This window comes from Homo sapiens, chromosome 17 (genome assembly GCF_000001405.40).
Source record: "Homo sapiens chromosome 17, GRCh38.p14 Primary Assembly".
In the NCBI taxonomy this organism is placed as follows: Eukaryota; Metazoa; Chordata; class Mammalia; order Primates; family Hominidae; genus Homo; species Homo sapiens.
The window spans coordinates 45,049,948-45,073,342 of NC_000017.11; the positions used below are offsets into that span (position 1 = coordinate 45,049,948).

The 23,395-nt window shown below is 48.3% G+C and overlaps 2 protein-coding genes across 9 annotated transcripts in view, besides 8 other annotated features; one reads left to right on the forward strand and one right to left on the reverse strand.

Moving 5' to 3' along the window:
• DCAKD (dephospho-CoA kinase domain containing) overlaps nucleotides 1-11,184 on the reverse strand; it is a 37,794-nt gene extending 26,610 nt beyond the window's left edge. For 3 of the 8 annotated variants that reach the window (NM_001288655.2, XM_047436773.1, XM_017025103.2), the window contains exon 1: nucleotides 1,414-1,685. The gene's annotated coding sequence lies outside the window, so the exon portion shown is untranslated. 8 annotated transcript variants of the gene reach the window in all.
• Nucleotides 1,326-1,825: a silencer, noted in NCBI's record as "silent region_8608". NCBI's record gives its function as "represses an Ori minimal core promoter by ATAC-STARR-seq in GM12878 lymphoblastoid cells {active_cell/tissue: GM12878}" and the evidence as "EXISTENCE:reporter gene assay evidence [ECO:0000049][PMID:35858748]".
• Nucleotides 10,150-11,141: an enhancer, noted in NCBI's record as "H3K27ac hESC enhancer chr17:43137465-43138456 (GRCh37/hg19 assembly coordinates)". NCBI's record gives its function as "activates a minimal SCP1, AML or CMV promoter by ChIP-STARR-seq in primed H9 embryonic stem cells {active_cell/tissue: H9 hESC(primed)}" and the evidence as "EXISTENCE:reporter gene assay evidence [ECO:0000049][PMID:30033119]".
• Nucleotides 10,150-11,180: a biological region, named in NCBI's record as "H3K27ac hESC enhancer GRCh37_chr17:43137465-43138456".
• Nucleotides 11,001-11,180: an enhancer, noted in NCBI's record as "active region_12270". NCBI's record gives its function as "activates an Ori minimal core promoter by ATAC-STARR-seq in GM12878 lymphoblastoid cells {active_cell/tissue: GM12878}" and the evidence as "EXISTENCE:reporter gene assay evidence [ECO:0000049][PMID:35858748]".
• Nucleotides 11,142-12,133: an enhancer, noted in NCBI's record as "H3K27ac hESC enhancer chr17:43138457-43139448 (GRCh37/hg19 assembly coordinates)". NCBI's record gives its function as "activates a minimal SCP1, AML or CMV promoter by ChIP-STARR-seq in primed H9 embryonic stem cells {active_cell/tissue: H9 hESC(primed)}" and the evidence as "EXISTENCE:reporter gene assay evidence [ECO:0000049][PMID:30033119]".
• Nucleotides 11,281-11,640: an enhancer, noted in NCBI's record as "active region_12271". NCBI's record gives its function as "activates an Ori minimal core promoter by ATAC-STARR-seq in GM12878 lymphoblastoid cells {active_cell/tissue: GM12878}" and the evidence as "EXISTENCE:reporter gene assay evidence [ECO:0000049][PMID:35858748]".
• NMT1 (N-myristoyltransferase 1) overlaps nucleotides 11,370-23,395 on the forward strand; it is a 47,700-nt gene continuing 35,674 nt past the window's right edge. The window contains exon 1 of the mRNA NM_021079.5: nucleotides 11,370-11,513. Within this exon, the coding sequence (NP_066565.1) occupies nucleotides 11,383-11,513 (131 nt within the window). The 5' untranslated portion in view covers nucleotides 11,370-11,382. The remainder of the gene's footprint in view (nucleotides 11,514-23,395) is intronic.
• Nucleotides 11,494-11,788: an enhancer, noted in NCBI's record as "tiled region #28; HepG2 Activating non-DNase unmatched - State 1:Tss, and K562 Activating DNase unmatched - State 1:Tss". NCBI's record gives its function as "activates a minimal TATA promoter and a strong SV40 promoter by Sharpr-MPRA in HepG2 and K562 cells {active_cell/tissue: HepG2 | K562}" and the evidence as "EXISTENCE:reporter gene assay evidence [ECO:0000049][PMID:27701403]".
• Nucleotides 11,731-11,810: an enhancer, noted in NCBI's record as "active region_12272". NCBI's record gives its function as "activates an Ori minimal core promoter by ATAC-STARR-seq in GM12878 lymphoblastoid cells {active_cell/tissue: GM12878}" and the evidence as "EXISTENCE:reporter gene assay evidence [ECO:0000049][PMID:35858748]".

Consider the following 23,395-nt stretch of genomic DNA (forward strand, 5'->3'; position numbering starts at 1 on the left):
CTGACCTCAGGTGATCTGCCTGCCTCAGCCTCCCAAAATACTGGGATTACCAGGCGTGAGCCACCGCGCTCGGCCTCCCAGCAGGTAATTTTTTCTTTCTTTCTTTCTTTTGAGAAGGAGTCTCACTCTCTTGCCCAGGCTGGAGTGCAGTGGCACGATCTCGGCTCACTGCAACCTCAGCCTCCCGGGTTCAAGCGATTTTTCTGCCTCAGCCTCCCGAGTAGCTGGGACTACAGGCATGCACCACCATGTCCGGCTAATTTTTTTGCATTTTTAGTTGACACGGGGGTTTCACCATGTTGACCAGGCTGGTCTCGAACTCCTAACCTCGGGTGATCCACCCTCCTCAACCTACCAAAGCGCTGGGATTACAGGCGTGAGCCACCGTGCCCGGCCCAGAGGGTAATTTTCAAAACAAAGCTAAGTTCGTGGCTTGCCTGCCTTCAGCTATCAGCCCTCTTCTTCTCTCCTTAAGGTACAGGCACCAAGAGGGGCTCGGAGACCATTTAAACGTTATTTACCAAGGGGACAGATTCAGACCTTGGTGAAGACAGACAGAGGAGGATTTGGTGGGAATTTAGGGCCCTGCTGAGACAAAAACCACCCGAACCCGTCTGTCCACTTTCTATCCATCTACCAGATCTCTAGCATTTCACCCCTTTCCCCAGGCCTATGCCAGCACTGTGCCACACCAACTCAATCTTGATTTATTCAGGTAAAATGAGCACTCTCCCTCCTGCAAAAACAAACACGTTTAAGACATAAAACATATTCAAAGGCTTCCATTTCCTCACCGTTAGAATTGAGACTTAATGTCAAAGTTCACTTGGGTAGGTTGAATCATTTTCCCACAACTAAGGGAGAGTGAAAAATCTTTGAAAACTCTGTAAGCAAACACCTGAAATGCCAACGCCTCCTTTGCGGAGCTGGGGAAGGAAGAGACGGGTGGCCGGATGGCCTCCCTCACTAGTTGGTGGGCGTGAGATCCACGCCGCCCCAGTCCCGGGGGCCTTCACTAAAACCTTAACTGGCCTCCCAGGGGAGAGGGAAGCGGAGGAGAGGGGTCTGAAAATCGGAGATGATCACTCAGCTCAACAGTAAAGCACTTTATACCCACCCTATGGGACAGATACTGTAGCTTTATTCCCATTTTTCAGATGAGCAAACTTGGGATCGGAAAGATACCCCAAGGTCACACAACTGAAGTGGCAGAAGCTAGATTCAAGAATCAATCGGCCCGCAAAGTTCTAAAGGGCAGTGGCTTTGGTCTGATCCTGAGTTTGAATCCACAATCTCCAGCCCTTTCTAGCTGTAAACCTTCCTGCGCGTCCTCAGCCGTAAAACAGAGGAAATAACACGTTGCTTGGTAGGGTTGCTGTCAAGACAATGGGCCGTGGATATAAAAGCACTTGCCTTAGTGCTGGCCGCATACGACGCGCTCAATACATCGTAACTCAGGCTTTCAAAAGAGGCCCGTACGCCCCACTAGGCCGCGAAATTGGGTCGCCCGGGGCGGTGGCAGCCCCGCGTAGCAGCCGCGGCCAGGGCCCGCCCCCTCCCCGGCGCCCGGCTGGCTCTCACCGGCCCGCGTGGCGCGCTACGTACCCAGCGCCTCCGCCGTGGCCCAGGCCTCCGCCTCTAGCCCAATCTCCGCAGCGCTTACAGGCCGGCTCAGCGGGCGAGGCGGGACCTCGGGAGCGCGCGCCTGCAGACCGGACGTCCGGCCAGCAGGCGGGGCCGGGAGAGGTTGGACGGGCGGGGCCGGGAGAGGTTGGGTGGGCGGGCGGGGCCGGGAGAGGTTGGGCGGGCGGGCGGGCGGGGCCGGGAGAGGTTGGGCGGGCGGGCGGGCGGGGCCGGGAGAGGTTGGGCGGGCGGGCGGGCGGGGCCGGGAGAGGTTGGGCGGGCGGGCGGGCGGGGCCGGGAGAGGTTGGGCGGGCGGGCGGACGCGGGAGAGGTTGGGCGGGCGGGCGGACGCGGGAGAGGTTGGGCGGGCGGGCGGACGCGGGAGAGGTTGGGCGGGCGGGCGGACGCGGGAGAGGTTGGGCGGGCGGGCGGACGCGGGAGAGGTTGGGCGGGCGGGCGGACGCGGGAGAGGTTGGGCGGGCGGGCGGACGCGGGAGAGGTTGGGCGGGAGAGGTTGGGCGGGAGGGCGGCCGGACGGACGCGGGAGAGGCCGGCGGGGAGAGCTCGGCCCCGGAGCACGGCACAGAGGTCCCCCGCAACCCCCGACCCGGAGCCATAAATTTTCCTTTCCCCGGAGCCGGGAAGGAGAGGGAGAGAGAGGAGAGGGGCAAAACTGCAGGGTCCTAACTTCGGATATAAAGCTCGGCCACTCGCTACTTGTGCAGCCTTGGCAGAGGTGATCATGAGCACTTTCCACCTGCCAGGTCCTAAGAGCACTTTGTGGGATTATCTCAGCCCGCACAGTCCGCAGGGTGGATACTATCATCATCCCCATTTTACACAACAGGAAACTATGTTTAGCGGTTAATCCATTTGCCCTCTCATACAAAGTCATGTGATTGCAGAGCCCGCATCCTGTCCATACAAGCCTAGCAAGCCACTCAGCCTCTCATCCTGTCTCCTCTCAAAGTGGGGATAATCGCAGCCGTGCAGCGTTGTTGAAAGAATACATAAAAGCCGGGCACGGTGGCTCACACCTGTAATCTCAGCACTTTGGGAGGATCACTTGAGCCCAGGAGTTCGAGACCAGCCTAAACAAGAGTGAGACTAACCCCCGATCTCTACAAAAAAAAAAAACAAAAAACAAACTAGCCAGGCATGGTGACAGTGTGGTCTCATTTACTCGGGAGGCTGAGGCAGGAGGATGGCTTGAGCCCAGGAGGTCAAGGCTGCAGAGAGCCATGATGGTACCACTGCACTCCAGCCTGGGCAACAAAACGAGACCTTGCCTCAAAAAAAATAAAGCATCTAGGCCGGGCGCTGTGGCTCACGCCTGTAATCCCAGCACTTTGGGAGGCCAAGGCGGGTGGATCACCTGAGGTCAGGAGTTTGAGACCAGCCTGGCCAACATGGCAAAATCCCGTCTCTACTAAAAATACAAAATTAGCCGGGCGTGGTGGTGAATGCCTGTAATCCCAGCTACACGGGAGGCTGAGGCAGGAGGATTGCTTGAACCCGGGAGGTGGAGGTTGCAGTGAGCCCAAGATCCGGTCACTGCACTCCAGCCTGGGAGACTACAGCAAGACTCTGTCTCCAGTTAAAAAAAAAAAAAAAAAAAAAAAAAAACTAGTTATCTAGTTATGCCTCACATATAGCAGGAAGTTGTTTTTGTTTTTTTTTTGTTTGGTTTGTTTGTTTGTTTGTTGAGACAGAGTTTCGCTCTATTGCCCAGGCTGGGGTGCAGTGGCAGGATCTTGGCTCACTGCAGCCTCTGCCTCCCAGGTTCAAGCGATTCTCCTGCCACAGCTTCCCGAGTAGCTGGGACTAGAGGTGTGCGCCACCACATCCAGCTAATTTGTTTTGCTTTTGAGATGGAGTTTTGCTCTTGTTGCCCAGGCTGGAGTGCAGTGGCATGATCTCGGCTCACTGCAACCTCTACCTCCCGGGTTCAAGCGATTCTCCTGCCTCAGCCTCCCAAGTAGCTAGGATTACAGGCATGTACCACCACACTCGGCTAATTTTGTATTTTTAGTAGAGATGGGGTTTCACCACGTTGGCCGGGCTGGTCTGGAAATCCTGACCTAGGTGATCCACCCACCTCGGCCTCCCAAAGTGCTAGGATTACAGGCGTCAGCCACCATGCCCAGCACATCTGGCTAATTTTTGTATTTCTAGTAGAGATGGGGTTTGGCATGTTAGCCAGGCTGGTCTCAAACTCCTGACCTCAGGTGATCCACCCACCTCGGCCTCCCAAAGTGCTGGGATTATAGGCATGAGCCACGGTGCCTCACCAGCAGGAAGTTTTTAATTAACACCTACCCTGTCTCCCTTCCCTTTCCTTAAACTGTATCTCTATTCTCTACTTCCTTTAAGGTAGGAATCTTGCCTATCTACTACTACAATACCCAGTGCCCTGCACAGTAGGGATTCAGTATATTGAGGAATTAAGTAATTTAACATCTTTCTCAGATCACCTGAGTCCCTGAAAGCTTTCTTCCTGACTTCAACAGTCAAGGAGACCTACTGCCATCACCCAATAAAAAGGATTCCATCTTGTGTCCAAAAGGGCCATTTGGTACAAACACCCTGCCAGTATTTGAATCTCTTCCACATTATCTCTGCCATGTATACATGTACATGTCCCATGTTGGGGAACTCACTGCCACTCAAGACAGTTTTATTTATTTTTTTTTTTGAGACAGAGTCTGGCTCTGTTGCCTAGGCTGGAGTACAATGGCGTGATCTCAGCTCACTGCAACCTCCGCCTCCCGGGTTCAAGTGATTCTCCTGCCTCAGCTTCCCTAGTAGCTGGGATTACAGGTGCCTGCCACCATGCCAGGCTAATTTTTACATTTTTAGTAGAGATGGGGTTTCACCATGCTGGCCATGCTGGTCTCGAACTCCCAACCTCAGGCGATCTGCCTGCCTCAGCCTCCCAAAGTGCTGGGATTACAGGTGTGAGCCACCACACCTGGCTGACAGTTGTTATTTTTTCAAGTCCAGTCTTGGCAGTTAGAAAGTTCTTTCTTAGGCAGTATCTCTCCTAGTTTTAAACCGTGGGGCCATACAGAACAAATCTAATTCTATTTTATAGAGCCAGATTTAATGGCTCAATTCCCTTCCTTGATCAAACAATGTATAGCTAACCTAATCCTGTGGTTCTCACCCTTTTCCCTACTCCTGACACATCCAAGGGATACCCAGACTCCCACCAGTAATCATGGCTGGCCAAGACAGGGATAGGAACAGGCCTGGCCTGTCCCCCCAAATTATCTGGATCTTCCTGGGACACAGTGTTAGGAAACCGTCCAGATGACCCTACTTTTCTCAGATACTGCCTTACAGTATTATAACTATTCATGTACAAGTGAGAGCCTTGTCTTCCAAGGAGGTATCCTTGTGGTCCGATTTGCCAAAAGCAGCTGCACCTCTGCCCCAGGAAGATCCCATAGGAAAGGGTGAAGGGCTGCTACAGGGCCTTCAACCCAGGCACCTCCTCCATAATGAAACTTGGGCTTTGGAGTTTCCATGTGATGCCATCAAGGGCTTTTTCAGCTCAAATATATGTCTTTCATGATTCAGGATGGCAATAAGAAACTTTGAGCTGGCTGTAGCTACTTACACAATCTCATTTTATCCTGAGAGTGGCCTGCATCTCAGTCACCTCTGTGTCCTTAGCATTTAGCATGATGCCTGGAATACAGTTCTGCTTCTCATTTTGTTTGATGAACAACCCTGAGTCCATTAGAGATGACTCCTTTGGCTCCTGGTTTTAAATTTATTTTCTGTACGTTTATTTATTTATTTATTTATTTATTTATTTTTGAGACAGGGTCTCACTCTGTTACCCAGGTTAGTGCAGTGGCACGATCTTGGCTCACTGTGACCTCTGCCTCCCAGGCTCAAGTGATCCTCCCATCTCAGCCTCCCACTGAATAGCTGGAACCACAGGCACACACTCCTCACTTTCTAAGCTCCAGTCCTAAGTCATATCATTCTCATTGCCATACCTCAAAAGCACCCAAGTCTCAGGCACCTGGACTTTCTACCTAGAAGGTCCACCCCAGTTTGTTTACTGTCCTGATGAACATTCAGCTAAGCCACCATGTCCCCCCAGGATCTCCTGCCTCTGGACAGCCTGTGCTCCCCACTTTCTTAGGCACTGTGCTAGAACTGTTCTACCCCTGACTCTCCAGTTCCTGCCATAGAGGCTGACAAGTCATCAGTGTTCCCGAGGTTGGAATAAATGAATCACAATCTATCTCATGGCTTCGTAGGTCCACCAGAAGAAAGGTTATATGTGGCCGGGCACAGTGGCTCACACCTGTACTCCCAGCACTTTGGGAGGCCAAGGCAGGGGATCACCTGAGGTCAGGAGTTTGAGACTAGCCTGGCCAACATGGTGAAACCCCTTCTCTACTAAAAATACAAAAAATTAGCCAGGCATGGTGGCTCGCACCTGTAATCCCAGCTACTCAGGAGGCTGAGGCAGGAGAATCGCTTGAACTCAGGAGGCAGAGGTTGCAGTGAGGAGAGATTGCACCATTGCACTCCAGCCTAGGCAAAAAGAGCAAAGCTCCGTCTCAAAAAAAAAAAAAAAAGAAGGTTATCTCTGACATGCTGGAAGTACAGCAAAGGCCTTGATCTGTGATGGACATCATGAAGAAAACTTTTCTTTGGTTATCATACCAGTAATGCTGACTTCCTGGGAAGGGAAATACTAATTAAGTGGGTATTAATTCTGTCCTAGACACTTTTAGGGCTCTCTATGTAAGTCTTATTTTACAGATAATGACATCAAAGCTCAGAGGTTAAGTGACTTGCCTAAGGTCATTCATTAAGTCAGAGGCAGAGCCAGGATTTAGAACCCAGGGAGTCACACTCTGCCTGCACTCTTTTTTATATATATTTTTTTTTTCCCAAGACAGAGTCTTGCTCTGTCGCCCAGGTTGGAGTGCAATGGTGCGATCTCGGCTCACTGCAACCTCCACTTCCCGGGTTCAAGCAATTCTCCCTGCCTCAGCCTCCCGAGTAGCTGGGATTACAGGCGTCCACCACTGTGCCCAGCTAAATTTTGTATTTTTAGTAGAGACGGGGTTTCACCACGTTGGCCAGGCTGGTCTCAAACTCCTGACCTCAGGTGATCCGCCTGCCTTGGCCTCCCAAAGTGCTGGGATTATAGGCATGAGCCACCGTGCCTGGCCCTTTTTCCTTTGAGACAGAGCCTCGCTCTGTCACCCAGGCTGGAGTGCGGTGGCGTGATCTCCGCTCACTGCAAGCTCCGCCTCCCTGGTTTACACCGTTCTCCTGCCTCAGCCTACCAAGTAGCTGGGACTACAGACGCCCGCCACCACGTCTGGCTAATTTTTTGTATTTTCAGTAGAGACAGGGTTTCACCATGTTAGCCAGGATGGTCTCGATCCCCTGACCTCATGATCTGCCCGCCTTGGCCTCCCAAAGTACTGGGATTACAGGCGTGAGCCACTGCGCCTGGCCCTTTTTTCCTATTTATATAGAGACGGGGCCTTGCCATGTTGTCCGGGCTGGAGTGCAGTGGCATGATCCTGGGTTCCAGCGATCCTCCCACCTCAGCCTCCCAAGTAGCTAGAACCATAGGTGCATGCCACAATGCCACGCTAATTTTTGTATTTTTTTTAGAGACAGGGTCCTCTATGTTGCCCAGGCAGGTCTCACACTCCTGGGCTCAAGTGATCCACCCATCTCAGCCTCCCAAAGTGTTGGGATTACAGGCATGAGCCACCTCACCCAGCTATATTTCTGCATAACTCCATAAGGCAGAACCGGGCCAGCTTTTCACAAACCAAAATTGTTTCAAAGTGGAAAGCTCTCGGCTGGGCGCAGTGGCTCATGCCTGTAATCCCAGCACTTTGGGAGGCCGAGGCAGGCGGATTGCCTGAGCTCAGGAGTTGGAGACCAGCCTGGGCAACATGGTGAAACCCCGTCTCTACTAAAATACAAAAAATTAGCTGGGCATGGCGGTGTGTGCCTGTAATCCCAGCTACTCGGGAGGTTGAGGCAGGAGAACTGCTGGAATCCAGGAGGCAGAGGTTGCAGTGAGCCGAGATAGTGCCACTGCACTCCAGCCTGGGCAACAGAGTGCGACTCCATCTCAAAAAAAAAAAAAAAACAGTAATTCAGGCCAGGTGCAGTGTCTCACACCTGTAATCTCAGCACTTTGGGAGAGCGAGGTGGGCGGATCACCTGAGGTCAGGAGTTCGAGACCAGCCTGGCCAACGTGGTGAAACCCTGTCTCTACTAAAAGTACAAAAATTAGCTGGGCGTGGTGGCAGGCACCTGTAATCCCAGCTACTTGGGAGGCTGAGGCAGGAGAATCGCTTAAACCTGGAAGGCAGAGGTTGCAATGAGTCGAGATTGTGCCACTGCACTCCAACTTGGGTGACAGTGAGATTCCGTCTCAAAAAAAAAAAAAAAAAAAAAAAAGCCTGGGCGTGGTGGCTCACACCTGTAATTCCAGCACTTTGGGAGGCCAAGGCAGGTGGATTACCTGAGGTCAGGAGTTTAAGACCAGCCTGGCCAACGTGGTGAAACCCCATCTCTACTGTAAGTACAAAAATTAGCCAGGCATGGGGGTGCGCACCTGTAGTCCCAGCTACCGGGGAGGCTGAGGTGGCAGGATCACTTGAATCCAGGAGGCAGAGGTTGCAGCAAGCCGAGATTGCGCCATTGCACTCCAGCGTAGGCGACAGAGCGAGACAGTCTCAAAAATAATAATAAATAAAAATAACACACAAAATATCTTTTTATCTTTTATTTTATTATTGTAATCCCAAAGTGCTGGGATTACAGGCATGAGCCACCACGCCCAGCCTACTTTTTATTTTTTTTGAGACAGAGTCCCACTTTGTCACCCAGGCTGGAGTGCAGTGGCAGAATCTTGGCTTACTGCAACCTCCGCCTCCCAGGTTCAAAAGATTCTCGCGTCTCAGCCTCCCAAGTAGCTGGGATTATAGGCGCCCACCACTAAGCCCAGCTAATTTTTTTGTATTTTCAGTAGAGACGGGGTTTCGCCACGTTGGCCAGGCTGGTCTCGAACTCCTGACCTCAGGTGATCCACCCACCTCGGCTTCCCAAAGTGCTGGGATTACTGGCATAAGCCCCAGCGCCTGGCCTGGCTTTATTATTCTTCTTCTTACCTCTGACCCCCCCCTTCCCTGCAGCTGCAAATAGGGCAATCGCGTTGAACAGCAGTCTTAGACCCCGGAGAGTTGAGTGTGGTGACAGCTCTCAGACTGAGTGGGCATCTTTGACTGCCTTCCAAAGTCAAATATAAATGACTGAGGATTATCTGCTGCTTTGGATCATAATTACTTATGCTTATGCCATTGATATAAAAACAGAGTTGAGTTGGCCGGGCGCGGTGGCTCACGCCTGTAATCCCAGCACTTTGGGAGGCCGAGGCGGGCAGATCACGAGGTCAGGAGATCGAGCCCACCCTGGCTAACACGGTGAAACCCCGTCTCTACTAAAAATACAAAAAATTAGCCGGGTGAGGTGGCGGGCACCTGTAGTCCCAGCTACTTGGGAGGCTGAGGTAGGAGAATGGCGTGAACCCGGGAGGCAGAGCTTGCAGTGAGCCAAAATCGCGCCACTGCAATCCAGCCTGGGCGACAGAGCAAGAGAGCGAGACTCCGTCTCAGAAAAAAAAAAGAAAGAAAGAGTTGACTATATTTAGTTCTGTGTTTTATTTGTGTTTTCTTTCCCTGAGTCAGATGGGAACTGTTTCTTCCCGCCCTGCCATTCTTCCCATGTTGAGATCTTTCCCAAAGGCAAAGATCATTTCCCTTTTTGGCCATGGAGCACTCTGATGGTAAGAATTAGTCCTCTCATCACCCACCACACTCAACCCGAATAGGAAATTTCCAAGAATGGGAACCATGTCTTTGGGCACTTAGGCGAGATTACTCAATCAAAAGAGTGAGACTCAGGGACTGAAACATTCAATCAAGGTTAAAAACAGATTAAAATGTGGCAGTTACCTTTTTTCCCCTGATATAGAATACGCACTGGAGTCACAGTTACCTTTTAGTAACTGATTTCCTTGAGTGAATAGTGTATCAGAAAATGGGACTTTTATGGTGGCAAAGAATTCAGAGGGCCTGGGGCACACAGATCTGGATTTGTATACCGATTTGCCACTTAACCAGCTATGTGACTGTGCAATTTACCAACCTCTCAGGGCCACATTTTTTCATCTGTCAAAAAGGTCAATATGGCCAGGTACGGTGGCTCACACCTCTAATCCCAGCACTTTGGGAGGCCGAAATGGGCAGATCACGAGGTCAGGAGTTCGAGACCAGCCTGACCAACATGGTGAAACCCCGTCTCTACTAAAAATACAAAAATTAGCCAGGTGTGGTGGCGTGCGCCTTTAATCCCAGCTACTCAGGAGGCCGAGGCAAGAGAATCGCTTGAACCCAGGAGGCGAAGGTTGCAGTGAGCCGAGATCGCACCACTGCACTCCAGCCTGGGAGTCAGAGAGAGACTCCGTCTCAAAACAAAACAAAACAAAACAAAGGTTGAATAATAATAATAGGACCTATATTGTAGACTTGTTGAGAGGATTAAATGAGATAATGTACGAAATGCCTTACTACAGAGTCTGGCACTTATTAAAGAAAGAGTTGATGTGGGCTGGGTGCCGTGGCTCACGTCTGTAATCCCAGCACTTTGCGGGGTTGGGGTAGGAAGATCCTTAGAGGCCAGGAGTTCGAGACCAGCCTGGGCAACAAGGCGAGACCCTCGTCTCTACAAAAAATATATAAATTATCCGGGTGTGGTGGCTCATGCCTATAGTCCTAGGTACTTGGGAGGCTGAGGTGGGAGGATACCTTGATTGCAGTGAGCTGTGATCTTGAGCCATTGCGCTCCAGCCTGGGCGACAGAAGGCGGCCGTATTTAAAAAAGAAAAAAGAAAGAAAGAAAGAAAAGAAAAGAAAAAAAGGGTCGTTGTGGAAAATTCTTGTGGGGAATTAAAGGGACCACGTGTGCGCGAAAGAGCTTGGCGAAGATAAGTACCTGGAGGCCAAGATGAGGCGGCGAGCCCTGCCTCCCTAGCAGTGTGGTCTCCTGGCTTAGGGTCAGTGCTTCGCACAAAAAAATCCACTGCCTCTCATGAGACCTTGAACTGCCAATGACCGCAGGTTGCCCAGACTCCCGAGTGAGGAAGGCGGCCAGGAGTCAACTAGGCTTCTTGCGGAAAAGCCCACTCTAAGAAGGCCTGGGGCATTCCGGCTCCAGGCAGGTAGCACCCGCGGGCCTCAGGCCCTTTCACTTACCCGGGAAACGTAACGGTCCTTAACGGCAGCCAATAACGGCTCCCAGCGGCCCAGGCACTGGCAAGGGCAGGCTGAAATCAAACCTCGGATTTTGGAACCTCCACGCCTGAAACCCTAAACCAGCATCGAACTACAACTCCCATCATGCCAGGCGGCCGCCCGGTTCCCAAGGGTCGGTCCCACCAACCTTGCGCCCCTTCTTTCCTCAAAGCGTGGCCGAATGCCTAGGCTTCCGGGTATCAGTGGCCCCGCCTCTTAATCCGACCGGAGCCGTCCCTCGTGATTCCTGGGTATTGTAGTCAGTTTCCTGGGAAAGAGTCGCTCCTAGTGGCAGCTCGCTTCGCCAGAAAAACTACAAAACCCAGAATGCAGCGCAAATTCCCCTTGTCCAATAGGAACCCCCCATGTAGTGGGGCGCGGAGCCCTGCTCTCGCAACTCAAGATGGCGGACGAGAGTGAGACAGCAGTGAAGCCGCCGGCACCTCCGCTGCCGCAGATGATGGAAGGGAACGGGAACGGCCATGAGCACTGCAGCGATTGCGAGAATGAGGAGGACAACAGCTACAACCGGGGGTAACGAAATCCTCGGAGTCCAATTCCCGTCCAGCCTCCCACAACCTGGGTCTCTGGGGTGCGGGGAAGTCACCGGGAGCTTAGTCTAGCCCCACCCTCATGTTCTTATTGGCTAAGTCACTAGGATTCTGCCTGGCGATTGGTTATTGCCTTTGTCATTTACCAAGGGTGGGTGCTCTGGATATTAAGGGCCGGAGACGTTCAGTACTTTTATTATATAAAAGTTCTATGCAGTGTTCCACTCGTGTGCTTCAGGCCATTCCTGGGAAAAGAGCATGTTGGACGATGGTTTTCGATGGTACAACACAGGACAGTCTAGTAACAGTACAGTTCAAAGGGAACGTTACTTATAGACGTGTTGTTTGAACAACGTGACTAGCAATAAACGAATCATAAAACATTTCGCAGCAGTTCACCCTCAGTGAGGAAACTCATCAGACTATACAAACTGTATGTATAATTATATTGTAAAATATCACTACCAGAGAATCCCAAAATATAAACTCACCTTATAAACCTATGTAATTAACGGTATGGTAATGCTTTGATTTACATAGTTTCCATTGCTCCAAATAATCCATAAGTATCCTGAACGATATATTAATATAATTAAGTCTTCGAACATCTTTGCCTTGTTACCTTTGCAGAGCAGCCCCAGGCTTCAAGAAATGAGCGATGTTGTTTCTTGGAGAGTATTTGGAATCCTCGGGCTCCATACTGCCTATCCTGTACTTTAGGGTCTTGCCATTAGTTACTATTTGTTCCTAGGGATGAAGAAACACACCAGGCATTTGAATGTTGAATTCTTTTCCCAAATTAGTTTTTACTTCTGTAAGCCACAGCTTATTCATCTTTCTTCACATGGTTAGTGCCTGGCACTGGCACTCACGCTGTCTCTCCCCATCTTCCTGTCTATATTTGTAGATATATTTTTAAACTGAAAGTCGTGAGAGATTTTTGGGTGTATAACTTGCTGAGTCTGAGGTAGTCTGATTTTCGTAGCCAGCTTGTTATTCGCAGTATTGGTGGCAGTGCAGATATAAAGGTATAAAGACCAAGGACTGCGTAGAAGAGATGGTCCCACAAGATTATAGTACATATTTTTATTGTATCCTTTCTATGTTTAGGTATGCTTAGATACACAAATACTTACCATTGTATTATAGTTGCCTGCAGTACTCAGTAACATGCAGCAGCCTATTGCTCCTAGGCTACAAACCTGTATAGCATGTTACTGTAATGTACACCATATAGCCTAGGCATTTAGTAGGCTATACCATCTAGATTTGTGTAAGTACACCCTATAATGTTGGCAAGGCAAAAATCACCTAACCATGCATTTCCCAGCACATATGCCTGACGTTCAGTGAAGCATGACTGTATTTAAGTGGTTTATAATCTGCTTGTGGTAAATCTTAGGTTAAAAGATCTAGCTTTTATGTTCTTCAGCCGGCATTAAAAATCACAGGAAGGGCCGGGCATGGTGGCTCATGCCTGTAATCCCAGTACTTTGGGAGGCAGATCACGAGGTCAGGAGATCGAGACCATCCTGGCTAACACTGTGAAATCCCATCTCTACTAAAAATACAAAAAATTTAGCCGGGCGTGGTGGCGGGCGCCTGTAGTCCCAACTACTCGGGAGGCTAAGGCAGGAGAATGGCGTGAACCCAGGAGGCAGAGCTTGCAGTGAGCTGAGATCACGCCACTGCACTCCAGCCTGGGCGACAGAGCGAGACTCCGACTCAAAAAAAAAAAAAAAAAAAAAAAATCACAGGAAGAAAGTAGAGGAATAGGAAGCTTGCCAAATTTAGTTTTTATAAGACTGTTCTGTTGCTGTAACTCACAACAGATCTAATGTAATAAAAGTCTTCTTTTGAAGTTTGATATTCCTAAAAATGGAAGAGCTGAGAAAGAGGAAGTAGGAACAGGAAGAAGGGAAAGTGAAGCTCTCCTGAGTAGAGATCTGAATCACAGATGAGAGTTGGTGAATGTGAAAGTCATTCCAGAAGTGAAAGTGTGGCATTTTCTTTGCTCTTTTTGTAGTTGCTTTTATTTTTATCTTCTTAACTGTTGTCCTGACCAGTGTCCTTAGGTTTGTGCCCTATAATCTGTGAATCACTTTTCAAAACTGTGTGCCAGAAAGTTATTTTATTGGCCTGGCGTGGTAGCTCACACCTGTAATCCCAGCACTTTGGGAGGCCGAGGCAGGTGGATCACTTGAGGTCAGCAGTTCGAGAACAGCATGGCCAACATGGTGAAACCCCGTCTCCACTAAAAATACAAAATTTAGCTGGGCATGGTGGCGTACGCCTATAGTCCCAGCTACTCCGGAGACTGAGGCAGGAGAATCACTTGAACCTGGGAGGTGGAGGCTGCAGTGAGTTGAGATTGCACCACTGCACTCCAGCCTGGGCAATAGAGCAAAGCCCTGTCTCAGAAAAAAAAGTGGCACACAGTGGCTCATGCCTGTAATCCCATCACTCTGGGAGGCCGAGGCGGGTGGATCACGAGGTCAAGAGATTGAGACCATCCTGGCTAACATGGTGAAACCCTGTCTCTATTAAAAATAGAAAAATTAGCTGGGCATGGTGGTGCATACCTGTAGTCCCAGCTACTCGGGAGGCTGAGGCAGGAGAATCACTCGAACCCGGGAGGCGGAGGTTGCAGTGAGCTGAGATTGCGCCACTGCACACCAGCTTGGCAACGGAGCGAGACTCCATCTCAAAAAAATAAATAAATAAAATTATTTTATTTGTAGTAGAAGTAAGTGATAACCTTAAAAACTTTGACAGTTTGCAGTGGTGTCTCTGTGCATGGTTATGGTCTGGGTGAAAAAATTATGTTTATTAGCGTCCCAAATCTAAAGATCTGTGAAAATGAGTTTGGAGGTAGTAGGTGAAAAACCAAGGGCCTAGTCTGGAGGAGAGAGTCTAATTCTGGCACTAAGAATCTGGGGTAGAGTCAACATTTTTCCATGAACTTTGAGAGGAAATGGTTTTGGGGAGAAGCAGCAATGTGGGAAAATGCAGCACGGCACAGTAGAAAAGCATGGACTTTGGAATAATTTAAATCTGGTCTGAGGCCAGGCGCGGTGGCGCACATCTGTAATCCCAGCACTTTGGGAGGCTGAGGTGGGCAGATCGCTTGTGGTCAGGAGTTTGAGACCAGCCTGGCCAGCATAGTGAAACCTCATCTCTACTAAAAATACAAAAATTAGCTGGGCATGATGGCAGGCGCCTGTAATCCTAGCTACTTAGGAGGCTGAGGCAGGAGAATCACTTGAAAACAGGAGGCAGAGGTTGCACTGAGCTGAGATCTCTCCAGTGCACTCCAGCCTGGGCGACAGAGCAAGCCTCTGATCTCAAAATCTCATCTCAAAGCTTGGCTCTGACACTTAACAGTCCTGTGACCTTGGGAAAGGTACTTAACTCAGAGTTGTAGGGATTAATGAGATAACATCTGGAATGCACTCCTTTTCCTCCCTCCTCCTCTTTCTTCAGATCGTCCCTAACCTCCCAGCTTGCCCCTCTGCTCTTATCACATACTGTATTGTAGCTTTTATCGTAACAATAGTTATAATAACAATAAATATAACTACATGTTTGGTAATTTTTCTTAATGTGTCTGGTACCTGTCTCATCTGACAGTAAGGAGCATGTAAACAGGATTGTGTCTTCGAAATGCCTAGCACTTAGTGGGCATTAATGAGTATTTGCTGTATGAATGAATGGCAGATATTAAAGTGCCTAGCCCAGTATTAGTGGAGTTTCATCTCCCCTCACCAAGTGAGAGGATGTCAGATTTTTCTTACATACACATTTTCTCTCCCCAAATAATTCTCATTGTAAGCCTCACTACAGTTTTTATGAAATACCTACAGAGGCAGGGCATGGTGGCTCACACCTGTAATCCCAGCACTTTGGGAGGCTAAGGCGGGCGGGATCATGAGGTCAGGAGATCGAGACCATCCTGGCTAACACAGTGAAACCCCATCTCTAATAAAAATACAAAAAATTAGCCAGGTGTGGTGGCGCATGCCTGTAGTCCCAGCTACTCGGGAGGCTGAGGCAGGAGAATGGTGTGACCCTGTGAGGCGGAGCTTGCAGTGAGCCGAGATTGCGCCATTGCACTCCAGCCTGGGCGACAGAGCCAGACTCTGTCTCAAAAAAAAAAAAAAAAAAAAAGAAATACCTACAGAAACCAGGAAGCTCCAATTTGCTGTGGAGCTTTCCACTGTTGTGTGCTTTCCACTGTGTTTTGCTTCTTGAAATGTTTTTTGTCTTAATATTATTTAAAATGTTCTCAAAAATCATGTAAAAATTGACAGAGAAGTTTTCCTTTCAATGCTAGAGAGTCTAAAATGTGTAATATATAATAAAGGTTAATGATAGTTCGAGCTAACCCTTATTCTCCTGGGCCTTTTTTTTTTTTTAAAGAGACTGTGTCTCGCTATGTTGCTCAGACTAGTCTCAAACTCCTGGGTTCAAGTGATCCTCCTGCCTTAGCCTCCCAAAGTGCTGGGATTGTAAGCATGAGCCACCACACCCAGCCTCCTGCCCCTTTTTTTCAGGAACTAAAGTCATAGTACTCTATGCTAATAAAATGAGCTAAATTCATGTACTGGATTCTGTTGCCCGGGCTGGAGTGCTGTGGCGCGATCTTGGCTCACTGCAACCTCTGCCTCCCGGGTTCAAGAAATTCTCCTGCCTCAGCCTCCTGAGTAGCTGGGACTACAGGAGCACACTGCCACACCCGGCTAATTTTTCATATTTTAGTAGAGACGGGGTTTCACCGTTGTTGCCCAGGCTGGTCTTGAACTCCTGAGCTCAGGCAATCCACCTGCCTTGGCCTCCGAAAGTGCTAGGATTACAGGTGTGAGCCACCACGCCCGGCCAGTTGTATTAGTTACTTATGTCTCTTTGTATATGAATTTAGTTCTTGACTTTTCTGGTCTTGTGTTTCCTCCGTAATTAAATCAGCATAAACATTTGGTGAATATAAAACTTCATGTGGTTGTGTGTAGTGGCTCATGCCTGTAATCTCAGCACTTTGGGAGGCTGAGGCAGAAAAATCACTTGAGCTCAGGAGTTCGAGACCAGCCTGGGCAACATGGTGAGACCCCATCTCTATAAATAAAAACAAAAAAACCCAAACCCTTCATGTATACATATAGGTATACATGCATACATATGCAGTGTGTATGGGTGCGTCTCTTCAGTTTTTCTATTTAAAAATTTTTTAATTTAATTTTAAAATTATTGTTATTACTTTGGAAACAGGGCCTCGCTCTGTCGTCCAGGCTATAGTACAGTGGTGTGATCATGGCTTACTGCAGCCTTTGACCTGGGCTCAAGCGATCCTCCCACCTCAGCCTCCCAAGTAGCTAGGATTGTAGACATGCACCATCATCCCTGGCTAATTTTCTTTTTAAAAAGTTTCTGTAGAGATGGGGTCTCACTATTTAGCCCAGGCTGGTCTCAAACTGCTGGCCTCAAGTGATGCTGCCACCTTGGCCTCCCAAACTGCTGGGATTGTGGGCATAAGCTCCTGCATCCAGCTGGTTTTGTTTGTTTTTTTACTGCACTCAATTTCCCCCAGTTACGTGCCTAGCGTAATTATCCTGAACAATTGAGAGGAGAGTCAGATAAGATAACCTTTATGCAGCATCCCCCTGTAGTTCGTGATTCATCTATATGGTTTAATTTGATTTTTTTTTTTTTTTAATGAGAGTCTTTCCAAGAAGTATTGCCAAAGAATAAATCTCATCAGTTGGCAGATTTTAATTTGGGGGTAATAAGTGAAGATTGTCTGAGTGTTTTGGAACAAAAAAGAACTTTTAGACTATTGTGTTCTAGGAATCTTTCGGAATTTATTTTGCAGTGTCTTCAGTGTCATTGAGATCCTGGTAAGCACGGGTCAAGAGCCCTCTGACAAGAGGTGTCTCATCTCCATCCTGCTCTCTTACTCCCTGGGACAGGTTAACATGGATTCTTTATAAGTTCTCCTCATTTCCTGGTTGTGAGATACTATCCCTTATGAAAACTTAGGAGGAGAGAAAAGTCTTTCTGAAAATAAATTCCATAAAGCTAGCCTTACTTGTTTTTGTTTTTTTCTTCAGCTTCTCCAAGAGTCGTTCTTTCCCTATTTATTTGATGGCTTATAGCTGCAGCTAGCTCTTGGAAATAAGAAATCTTTTTAGTTCCTTTTTAATTTCTCCCTTCAACTTTTGGTTTTTCAAAACTAGATCAAAGCAGAATGGAAAGAGAAACCTCATCACTGATATCAAATAAGTGTTCTAATTTTGTTTCCCAATTAAATGGCAATTAAAAAGAAACTAATCAAGAGCTGCTTCAAAGAGAAGAGACTGGAAAGCAGAAGAAATGGAAAGTAAATGAGAGCCTATTTCAGGGACTCGCTGCTCATGGCACAGCAGTTTTGCTGATTTTTCACATTGTTCAACTAATATGCTCACGCTAAAATTCCCCAGCTTTACTAAGTTGGCAGTTAACCCTTTCCCTATAGAGCCCATAGATTTATGAGCCATACATTTAGTAACTTCAGGAGGATGCTTCTTTAACTCTTTCTCTTCAGCTTTTTATCTGAAATCTCTACCCTTCAGGCCTCTCTTCCAATTCCTCAAAGAAGATGTCCTTGTGATTGTTACATTTAAGGGACAAAAATATGGTGTTCTCTATTGAGAGCGCCAAAAATACTAAACCGGAATTCCTCCATAGGCTCAGTATTTGCCTCAAAAATGTCCCAGCACTTTGAGAGGCTGAAGTGCGCAGATCACTTGAGGTCAGGAGTTCGAGACCAGCCGGGCCAACATGGCAAAACCCCATCTCTACTAAAAATACAAAAATTAGCTGGGCGTGGTGGCACACACCTGTAGTCCCAGCTACATGGGAGGCTGAGACAAGAGAATCACTTGAACCCGGGAGGCAGAGGTTGCAGTGAGCCCAGATGGCGCCATTGCACTTCAGTCTGGGCGACAGAGAGAGCCTCCATCTCAAAAAAATAAACAGAACAACAACTTTCTAGAGCTGCTCTCTTGAGAGACAACTGAGGAGTCACTATGGTTAAGTGTTTAGTAAATGTTACTATTATTACTACGTAGTGGGCATTGTGCTAAGCCCTTTACTTGGATTATATCCTCCATGATTTCACTTATGAAGACTTTAGCGATTTTTGTTTGTTTGTTTCTTTTTTTGAGTCTCACTCTGTCGCCCAGGCTGGAGTACAGTGGCACGATCTTAGCTCACTACAACCTCTGCCTTACAGGTTCAAGCAATTCTTGTGTCTTAACCTCCCAAATAGCTGGGATCACAGGTGTGCACCACCATTCCCGGCTAATTTCTGTATTTTTAATAGAGACACGGTTTTGCCATGTTGGTCAGGCTGGTCTCGAACTCCTGGCCTCAAGCAGTCCACCTGCCTTGGCCTCCCAAAGTGCTGGGATTATTACAGGCGTGAGCCACCATGCCTGGACTTTAGTTTTTTGTTTTTTTGGGTTTTTTTGAGACAGAGTCTCACTCTGTCGCCCAGGCTGGAGTGCAGTGGCGCGATCTCGGCTCACTGCAACCTCTGCCACCCAGGTTCAAGCGACTCTCCTGCGTCAGCCTCCTAAGTAGCTGGGATTACAGGTGCCTGCCACTGTGCCTAACTAACTTTTGTAGTTTTAGTAGAGACGGGGTTTCACCATCTTGGCCAGGCTGGTCTTGAACTCCTGACCTCGTGATCCATCCTCCTTGTCCTCCCAAAGTGCTGGGATTACAGGCGTGAGCCACCATGCCTGGCCAGACTTTATTTTTTATTATTTATTTATTTATTTATTTATTTATTTATTTTTGAGACAGAGTCTCGCTCTGTTGCCCAGGCTGGAGTGCAGTGGCGTGATCTTGGCTCACCACAACCTCCACCTCCCAGGTTCCAGTGATTCTCCTGCCTCAGCCTCCTGGATAGCTGGGACTACAGGCACATGCCACCACGCCCAGCTGATTTTTGTATTTTTAGTAGAGATGGGGTTTCACCATCTTGGCCAGGCTGGTCTTGGAACTCCTAATCTCGTGATCTGCCCACCTCAGCCTCCCAAAGTGCTGGGATTACAGGCATGAGCCACCACTGCGCCCAGCTAGACTTTAGTTTTTATAGTGAGGCTTGAGATTTGCATCTCCACTGGTCTCTTTGACATCTCAGAGGATCCATTCTGAACTTGCTAGGTTTCTTTCCCCTGCTGAATTGAGTTCTGCATCTTGAGTCTGCAGCAGTGTGAATCCTATCTTTGGCTCCATTTAACAGCCTATGGACGTTCCCAAACTTGGGACCCAGTTTGTCTCTTCATGATAGACAAATATTATTTTCAGAAGTCATTCTAATCGCACCACTGCACTCCAGCCTGGCAACAGTGAGACTCCATCTCAAAAAAAAAAAAAAAAGTCATTCTAGTAGGTGAGATTTCTGCCAGCATTGAGCCACTGCTCAACATATTCTTGATAATGGTCTCTGAACAGCATTTGATTTTACCTTGGAGTTGCAAAGTCAAAGTCTAACTCGCCAAACAAACTCAGTGTGGAATATACACATTTGTCTCATTCCGGTTTTAAGGAGTTTAGTATACCAGAGCTTTTGTGACCTCTAAAAAGCAGTTATCGTCCATGACAAGAATTGGCTCGTTCACCCTCAGTACTCTGGCTTACTATCCCAGGGAGGGCCGAGGGTGGCAGCAAAAGTGGTCTTTTGTAATCCCTTTTTATAACCTGCTGTTCTCTTCACAGACCTCCCAGGGTACCTTTTTTTGTGTGTGTGTGTGTGAGATGGAGTCTCACTCTCACCCAGGCTGGAGTGCAGTGGCGTAATCTCGGCTCACTGCAACCTCTGCCTCCTGGGTTCAAACTATTCTCTTGCCTCAGCCTCTCAAGTAGCTGGGATTACAGGCACCCGCCACCATGCCTAGCTAATTTTTATTTTTTATTTTTGAGACAGAGTCTCGCTCTGTCACCCAGGCTGGAGTACAGTGGCGCGGTCTTGGCTCACTGCAAGCTGCGTCTCCCGGGCTCACGCCATTCTCCTGCCTCAGCCTCCTGGGTAGCTGGGACTGTAGTCGCCCGTCACCACGCCCGGCTAATTTTTTGTATTTTTAGTAGAGACGGGGTTTCACCGTATTAGCCAGGATGGTCTCGATCTCCTGACCTCATGATCCGCCCACCTCGGCCTCCCTAAGAGCTGGAATTACAGGCGTGAGCCACCGCGCCTGGCCAATTTTTGTAATTTTTAGTAGAGAAGGGTTTTGCTATGTTGGCCAGGCTTGTCTCGAGCTCCAGACCTTAGGTGATCTGCCCGCCTTGGCCTCCCAAAGTGCTGGGATTACAGGCATGAGCCACTGTGCCCAGCCCCAGGGTACCTTGATGGCAGTACTAAAGTGTTTTTATTTTTCCCATCATTTGGGATTCACAAGCAGTTTTTGATATAACTAATTGGTGGGAATGTGCGGAGTTGGGGGTATTGCACTGAGTGATCCTTAGCCGCAGAAGTACAGAGACTAGACAGCTGATACTGATTCATGCCATGTCATTTCCTTCTGGGCATCTTTGCCATTTCATTCACCTCTCTTTGGTCTTTCTGAGTACTAATAGGATTATTAGTGAACTTACCATACTTCAAGAGTTAATTGATTTGCAAAAGGATTTCCTGATGTCTAAAAGTAGAATCAAAAGGATATTAGAGGTTAGAGTTTATTTTAATAAGTTTCTCTGGAAAATTTGAATTTCTGCCCAAAAAATTCATTTTTTATTTGAGACAAGGTTTCACTCTGTCACCCAGATCGTAGTGCCATGGTGCAGTCCTCCTACTTCAGCCTCCCGAGTGACTGGGACTACAGGCTAATTTTTTTGTCTGTGTGTGTAGAGACAAGATCTCACTATGTTGCCCAGGCTGATCTCTAACTCCTGTCTTTTTGTTTTTCAGAGGTAGAAAACAAGTGGTGGCTGGTCCAAGTGCAGTGGTGTTTACGACTAATTTGTCATAACCAGTTATAGATTTCTTTGTTCCTTTTCCACTCCCACTGCTTCACTTGACTAGCCTTTGAAAAATAAAAGTAAAAAGCAAGTGGCCATGAGATCTGAGAGCTACAGTGAAAAAGAAAAGTGGCCAAATTTGTGAATTTTATTTCCCAAACTTTTTTTTCTTATGTTGTAAACCTGTGGTCTGTGTTTAAGACATTGAAACCATTAGAAGTAGTTACATTAGAGCTTTTTTGTTTGTGCTTTATTTACTTATTAGAGATGGGGTCTCACTTTGTCACCCAGGATGGAGTACAGTGGCTATTCACAAGCGTGGTCGTGGGGCACTACTACATCGTGAGACTCCTGGGCTCAAGAGATCCTCCCGCCTCAGCTTCCTCAGTAGCTGGGACTACAAGTTCACACCACCACACCTGGCTGGACCTGTTTTAGCTTCTCAAGGAGTAGGACAGAGCCTAAGGAGAGAGAAGACAATGAATAAGAAAATTAGGGCTGGACATGGTAGCTCACATCTGTAATCCCAGCATTTTGGGAAATTGAAGCAGGTGGATAGCTTGAGTCCAGGAATTCAAGACCAGCCTGGGCAACATAGAGAAACTTTGTCTCTACAAAACATATAAAAATTAGCCAGGTATGGTGGCGTACGCCTGTAGTCCCAGCTACGCAGGAGGCTGAGGTGAGATGATCGCTTGAACCTGGGAGGTTGAGGCTGCAGTGAGCCATGATTGTGCCACTGCACTCCAGCCTGGGTAACAGAGTAAGAAACTGTCTTTACAAAAAAAAAAAAACTCAGTATTTTTTTATTTGAGATGGAGTCTCACTCAGGCTGGAGTGCAGTAGTGTGATCTCAGCTCACTGCAACCTCCCCCTCCCAGGTTCAAGCGATTCTTCTGCCTCAGCCTCCCAAGTAGCTGGGATTACAGGCGTGTACCACCACCACACCTGGCTAATTTTTCTATTTTTTTAGTAGAGATGGGGTTTCGCCATGTTGGCCAGGCTGATCTGAAACTCCTGACCTCAGCTGATCCACCCACCTTGGTCTCCCAAAGTGCTGGGATTACAGGTGTGAGCCACCGCACCTGGCCTATTTTTTTTTTTGAGATGGAGTCTCTCTCTCTTGCCCAGGCTGGAGTGCAGTGGTGCGATCTCAGCTCACTGCAAGCTCCGCCTCCCGGGTTCACGCCATTCTCCTGCCTCAGCCTCCCGAGTAGCTGGGACTACAGGCGCCCGCCACGATGCCTGCCTAATTTTTTGCGTTTTTAGTAGAGACGGGGTTTCACCATGTTAGCCAGGATGGTCTCGATCTCCTGACGTCGTGATCCACCCGCCTCGGCCTCCCAAAGTGCTGGGATTACAGGCGTGAGCCACCGCGCCTGGCCTATTTTTTTTAATAAAAAAAGAAAGTTGATAATTTAAAATCCCAATCAGTAGCTCAAGAGCACAGCATTTCCATTGCTCTCATAGAATATTAACACAGCTGTCCTGTGCAAACAGAACTGAAGATGTTTTGCTGACCCTCTTTTGGGCTCTAGCTTTTCAAGGTCTTATTTTAGTCTATTATGCCTGTAAAGCATCAGTCAAGCATATAATTGTTGAACTGTTAACTGTGTGCTCAGCACAACTAGAGGCGCTGTGGGAAGCAGCTGTATAAGATGTAGTCTGGCCGGGCGCGGTGGCTCACACCCGTAATCCCAGCACTGTAGGAGGCTGAGGCAGATCACTTGAGGCCAGGAGTTCGAGACCAGCCTGGCCAACATGGTGAAACCCTGTCTCTACTAAAAATACAAAAATTAGCCAGGCATGATGGCACATGCCTGAAATCCCAGCTTTTCAGGAGGCTGAGGAAGAGAATCGCTTGAACCC